The sequence below is a fragment of the Homo sapiens genome, chromosome 11, assembly GCF_000001405.40.
Source record: "Homo sapiens chromosome 11, GRCh38.p14 Primary Assembly".
Lineage (NCBI taxonomy): Eukaryota > Metazoa > Chordata > Mammalia > Primates > Hominidae > Homo > Homo sapiens.
Genome location: NC_000011.10, coordinates 106,274,880 through 106,281,928, shown reverse-complemented (window position 1 = coordinate 106,281,928; position 7,049 = coordinate 106,274,880). Strand labels below are relative to the sequence as shown.

Here is a 7,049-nt window from a genome sequence, read left to right as displayed (position 1 = left end):
CTGGCTGTCTCATCAGCACAGGTATTTTATAGGGAGATAAAGCAGCTAAAATTAGTCCATTTTATACATGAGAAAATAATTAGGGACAGCTGTCAGGATGTGAAAGTAGATCTTCTGATGGTACAGACTTTCTCCACTCTGATAATAAGGAATTAGAGGGATTTTCATCCCATAAGTCAGAAATAGATGATATTTAGCACATGCTCTATTGAATTCCACTTCCTGTAGGTATAACAGACATCAATAATGAATCATGGCATTCTTTACTGCTGACTCTATGTGCAACCTCCAAATCCTGGTCAACATATGTTGTGTAGCAACCACTTGTGAATCTGAGTTGGCATATGATGAAATCCATTTTCAATGCTTACCTTAGGTGTTTCCATTTTCAATCAGGACTCTAAAAAACCTAATAGCTTTATATGCATTAAGCTATGACTCTTTGTTTGTACGCTAAGTAGTTATGAGCTCTTGGGATGTCACTATACAAATCTAAGCCCAGTTTCCTCACTAATAAAATGGATGATCTCTAACGTTTCTTTCAGTCTAACAGTAAATGATTATATGAAAGTCCAGGCATGGTGATGAGATGGGTTATTCTGAAGCAAGAGTGACCTTCCCATTGCCACTCAAGTCACATCAGATAGATTTCTGCTTTTATTTTCTTCTTAGTTCAGCCCTGCTAATTATTATTTATGTTTAAAGCTCATACTGGCCCATATAATGCTGTGGAATATTAATTGGTCATTTAAAATGTAATACATGAAACTATTTCTAACATTTATTCGGTCTCATTAGTTTGGGATTATACAGATTGCATACAAATTGCAAATCAGACTAGCTTAGTATAAGAAAGTAGGGACTTTTGAGTCAGAGGGAACTGAGTTCAAGTCCTGATTTCATCCTTGATGGGTAGTGAAAGACCCTAGTGAAGGTCACATACCTAAGGCTTGGATCTTTTAAATATACCTGCTATGTATAATTGGTGATGCATTGTTATGTGAAGTTGAAATACTGTGTGTAAATGCTTTCTATCACAGAGCCTGGCATGTAAGAAAAATATTATTATTTAGGGATCTCTCCTGTCAATGCAAGACACTACACAGTTGCTTATTTGTTTACCTACTTTGAAAATGGAAAATGTTGCCTTTTGCTTCCAGATGTGCTCCATAGACGACTTTAACATTAGCAGATCAAACTCCTTTCCCATAGCTCTTCTGTGGGAAGTTTTGTGGCATGTAGAACCATGTCTATAATCTTTGCCATTAACCCAAGGCCTGCGATCCCTGAGCAAAACACATGCCCTGCCATAGCCACAGATGAAGAAATGGACTGTAATGTTTCTTGGGACCACCATCTGGATCTAAACGAGCTCAAAGGGCTGACAGGGTGATACAATGCCTGTTTATTTGTACTCTATGTTCCAGAACTGGCAGATAAATGGCTATGTTTTAATCCCGTGTCTTCATGCTGGAACGAAGCTTCGTTTGAGACTAAATAAAGGATGTAAGTTTAGACTGGATACAATATGCATCCACAAAAGTATCACTGTATATTTGAAAAGCAAATATCATTAGTGGGAACTCAATACCTTCAGATTCTATTGAAGTGTGCTGAGCCTCTGTAAAGCAGGGTGATGAGAAAAATCGGCTTTTGACCAAACTGTAAAGAACAGCAGGACAGCTCTTCATGCTAAGGAGCAGGGAGGGGCAGCTGTGGAGCTGCAGACAGCAATTATTCATCCTAGTTCTGCCTATAATCCACCAAAAGAGGGAAAATCATCACTCCAGTGTGTCTTTGATTTCTGTATCTTTAAAACATGGGCAACTATTAAGCATTATCATGAACCATATTTAAAAAAAGGAAATCAAAGAGTTGGAAGGTTCAGTGAATGTGAGGTGATGAAACAAAATATTTTATAAATATTTATAAAATCAAGACTAGCCCTGACTTGATGGCTGCTGCCAATAATCTGCCAAAATATCTCACATCACATAAGAACCAGCCTCCCCTGATACTCTAAATTTCAATCATTTGGGATTTTTCTTTTAGGATTAAAAATTGTGTCTTTAAGAATTCCATTTTATGACCCAAATAGCCAACAAGAGAGTAAGGTATTAAACAATGCTTATCTTTTAATAGGTTTGTATATGAAACAACAGTGAGGGACATAAAATAGATTCACGCTGATTGAGGTGAGATGGGTAGAAGGATAGGTCTGGAGACTGAGGCACAGTACCTAAAGACAGGGTCAGATAGAACCCTCAGAAAAGAGGAATCCAAGGCAGGTGACCAGGAAAGGCAACAGAAGAGTTCAACATAGCTAAACTATAAGTATGGAAAGCCAAAAAAGATATCTTCAATGGGAGCATAAAGCAGGGCATCACACCTACTCCCTGTACAATGGCTAGCACTTTCTGCATGGAGTCAAGAAATCAAACTAGAATACCAGATCAAAATTGTTCTTTGCTTTTAAGTAGCACACTAGCAATGAAGCAAGATTGAGATAAGAAAGACTCTCCCCTCCTTCTCTAAACCTTGGTTCCCTAATTTGTAAAATGAGGTGACTGGAGTAGATGATCTCTGGGACCCATTCTAACATGCTACCTCTGTGTATGTCAAGAATGGCAACTACACTACAGGTATCTGAATACTTCCTCCACACACAAGCCTGGCAGACATGAATAACCAATCATGATGCTTGTCTGCTGAACTCAGATGCAAACTTAGAATCCTTTTCAAAGAGATAGCCACTAATAATCTAACAGAGTTGGCTTGGAATAGAAATCCATTTGCCATCCCTAATATATGTATTTAGATGCCTAAATTGTCTCAAAGACTAGCACAAATGATAACACTGGCTCCAAAATGTGGATTTAATTCTGCCCCAGTAACTGAGTAAATTCCTGTGGAGATTTTATGAGTGGAGCCAGCTACTAGAAGTGGAGAAAAGAGCTGTAGATACCCAAAGAGATTTGAAGAAATACTGAGCAGAATTGTTCACCCTTGTTCTTTACCTTTCCACAGTCACTACTGCTTAATATTTAATGTCCCCTCTGAAATGAAAACTACCCTGAAAATGGTCCAAAGAAGAAGACAACATAGTGTGGGTAAGAGTTAAAAGACTTGGATCACGTCTGGCTGTGAATCTTGGGTAGATAACATCTGAGCATTATTTCCATATTCTTACAGTGGAAACTAAAATACTTTATAAGTTTATTGCAAAACATAAATAAGATAAAAGTTCTTTGTACACAAAAATGTGTTGCTAGCATAAGCCCTGTATTAGCTAACACTTTTGGAGAATTTATTTCACAACCAGTTAAGATAAAAAGTTAACCACAGAATGGGAGGGACAAGATAGCCAACTAGACAAAACCAGTAGGAGCCTCTCCAACTGAAAGAGACCAAAATATTGAGTAAATCAACATATTTTGAACAAATCATTTGAGGGAAAACTCAGAGAGCTTATAAAGAGGAGACACAGACACCAAGGCTGAAGAGAGAGGAAGCCAGGAACCCAGTATGGGATTGTGGAACACCAGAACTCATTCCTGGCCCTGAACAGCTCCTAAAGAAGCGATGAGTGAAGAGACTGCACTTCAACCCACTGTCACCATAGACCTCTGAGATCCTAGCTACAAGAGATATGACCCCCATGGACAATTGAGCTGGCCAGGGCAACTTCCCGGAGAGTAGGTAGAGACAGAACTCAAGGCTGCATGGGATTTTGCAAGGGTATAGGGGCAATAAAATATGGCCGTAGGTGCCCATCTCCCAGGGCTCTCCATAGTCCTCTGAGTGCCTCTAGCCTTTGCTGACTGCTGGACCAGGAGACAACAGGGTTGTCTTTCCCATGGAACTGGGGTACACAAGATCTGCATGTCCCTGTGTTCACCGGCCCCTGGCAGGGTCCCTGCATGGCCACTGCTGCAAAAGCAAGCACATAGTGCAGCCTCCACTCCCTGGCCTGAGTGGTTTGCTGGTGGCCTGGGAACACCTTGGCCCCTCAGCACAGCTGGTACTTGGTTTTAAGGGACAGAGGACAAAGCCAAGGGCCCAGTCCTAAACCCCAGGGTTAGAAAGAGCATGCAGCTCTGGAGGGTGAAGCTGAGATAAGTGGCTGGAACTCAAGCATGAAAGAGCCTTCACTCTCAGAACACTGAGAAGAGTGAGGCCCAAGTTTATGGGTCAGTGCAGGATTTGGGTGTGCCCCCTTCTGTAGGGCTGGTCTGGGAAGGGTGTGGCTTATCTGCCACAGTGGCTGCAGCCTCTGACTGAAGGATCCCTGCAGCCCTGAACACCTAATAGCCCAGCAATTTGTGTGCAGTAGGCTTGGAACAAAACTAGCTAATCAGGCCAGTTACTGGGACAGCCACCAGAAGGAAAGCTGGTCAAGGGAGAAATAAATGGGTGGTCCTTATAGCTGTCTGCTGAGCAAAAATCCCTGGGTACAGGTGCCACATTAGTTCCACACCTACTGCAACACTGGCCTTGCCTGGAGATCCCCATTCTTGACCTACTACATCAACAGACCACCTGCAGACATATCCCACAACCCACAACGACTGTGCCAAACACAGAGATACAACAAGCTCCCAGGGAGCTGCAGGTCTCCTGGCAACTTAACTTTCCGTTTCAGCTGTCTGTAAGGAAGGCAGTATCACAGTCTGACAGAACCCCACCCCTTGAAACTAAAGAACTGCAGGAATAGTTCCAGTGACTGCAGGGAGCTCCCCTAAGGCCAGGGAATGGATCTGGTGAGGGGTTCATCTCTCTGATCTTTTTGCCTCCTCCACCAAAAAGCACCACTGCAAATGCATTGAAATGGGAAAGAGGCTTGCAGGTAGGGGCCTAACTGCCAGCCATTACTCTTAAGTGCCATCTACAGGATCACAGCCTGAATAACAAACACCAACAAATAATTGCCCATATACACTGCCCAATTCAGTAATCTAGCCACAAATAAACATCCCATACAGAGTCTTAATCTACTGTAAGCACCCAGAATCTAAGCAAATTGACTGAATTCAACTTGTACCACAATCAAACCCTCAAGGGTAATAATATAAAAACAAAAAGCCCAATGAAAAATGACAGCAACTTGAAAAAGGAAGGAATAACAGTCCTCTCAGATGAGAAAGATTTAGTGCAAGAAGTCTGGCAGTCCTAAAAGCCAGAGTGTCCCCTTACCTCCAAACAATGGCACTAGCTCCTTAGCTATGTTTTTAAGTCAGATTGAAATGACTGAAATGACAGATGTAGAATTCTGAATTTGAATGACAAGGAAGCTCAACAAGATGCAGGAGAGAGTTGAAACCCAATACAAGGAATACAAGAAATTCAGTAAAACAATCCAAGAAGTAAAAAATGAAATATCTGTTTTAAGAAAACCAAACTGAGTTTCTGGAACTAAAAAATTTACTAAGGAAATTTCATTATACAGTTAGAAGCATTAACAACAGAATAGATAAAGCTGAGGAGAGAATTTTAGAGCTCAAAAACTGGTCCTTTGAATCAACACAGTCACATTAAAAATAAGTTTTAAAGAGTTTTTTAAAATGCACAGCCTCCAAGAAATATGTTATTATGTAAGGAGACCAAACCTATGACTCATTGGCATCCATGAGAGAGAAGAATAGAGAGTAAGCAACTTAGAAAATAAATTTGAGGATATAATCCATGAAGATTTTTCCAATCCTGCTAGAAAGACCAACATGAAAATTCAAGGAATTCAGAGACCCCTGAAAGATATCATACAAAATGACTATCTGCTAGGCACACAGTCATCAGATTGTCTAAGTTCAACATGAAAGAAAAAAATCTCAAAGGCAACTAGAGAAAAGGATCAGGTCATTTACAAAGGGAAACCCATCAGGCTAGCAAGGGACCTCTCAAAGCAGAAGCAATTGGAGAACTATCTTCAGCATCCTTAAAAAAAATCCAACTGAGAACATCATATCCCTCGAAACTAAGCTCCGTAAGTGAAGGGAAAATAAAATTTCTTTCAGAGAAGCAAACGCTAAGGGAATTAATTAGCATTAGACCAGACTTACAAGGGGTCTTTGAGTGCTAAACATGGAAACAAAAGAATGGTACCTGCTACCATAAAAACACACAACGAAAAAAAAAAAAAAAAAAACTTTAGGCCAATATGTTTGATGAACACAAATGCAGAAATTTTCAACAGAAGGCTAGCAAACTGAATCCAGAAGCAAATCAAAGAGCTAATTCACCTTGATCAAGTAGGCTTTATTCCTGGGATGCAAGATTAGGTCAGCATATGCAAATCAATAAATGTCATTCATCACAAACAGGATTAAAAACAAAAACAATATAATCATCTCAATAGACACAGAAAAACTGTGGATAAAATTTAACATCTCTTTATGATAAAAATACTCAACAAACTAGGTATCAGAGGCATATACTTCAAAATAATAAGTGCCATCTATGACAAACCTACAGCCAGCATCATACTGAATTGGCAAAAGCTGGAAGAATTCCCCTTAAGAACTGGAACAAGATAAGGATGCCCACTCCCACCACTACTATTCAATAGAGTTCCGGAATTGTTAGCCAGAGAAATCAGTCAAGAGAAAGAAATAAAGGGCATCCAAACAGGAAAAGAAGAAGTCAAGCTATTTCTCTTCACTGATGATATGACTCTATACTTAGAAAATGCTAAAGACTCTGCCAAAAGACTCCTAGAGCTGATAGAAACTTTAGCAAAGTTTCAGGATACAAACTCAATGTACAAAAATCAGTAGCATTTCTATATACCAATAACACTCAAGCCGAGAACCAAATTAAGAATGTAATCTTACTTACAATGGCCACAGAAAGAATAAATTGCCTAGGAATATGTATAGGTAAAAAATATATAGGTAAAAGATCTCTACTAGGAAAATTGCAAAACACTACTGAAAGAGATTATAGATGACACAAACAAATGCAAAAATATCCCATACTCATGGGTTGGAAGCATCAACATAGTTAAAATAGCCATACTGCCCTAAGCAATATACAAATGCAATGTTATTTCTACC

At 39.8% G+C, this 7,049-nt stretch overlaps 1 annotated feature.

The window, feature by feature from the left end:
• Positions 4,549 to 5,132: an enhancer, noted in NCBI's record as "NANOG hESC enhancer chr11:106147524-106148107 (GRCh37/hg19 assembly coordinates)". NCBI's record gives its function as "activates a minimal SCP1, AML or CMV promoter by ChIP-STARR-seq in naive H9 embryonic stem cells {active_cell/tissue: H9 hESC(naive)}" and the evidence as "EXISTENCE:reporter gene assay evidence [ECO:0000049][PMID:30033119]".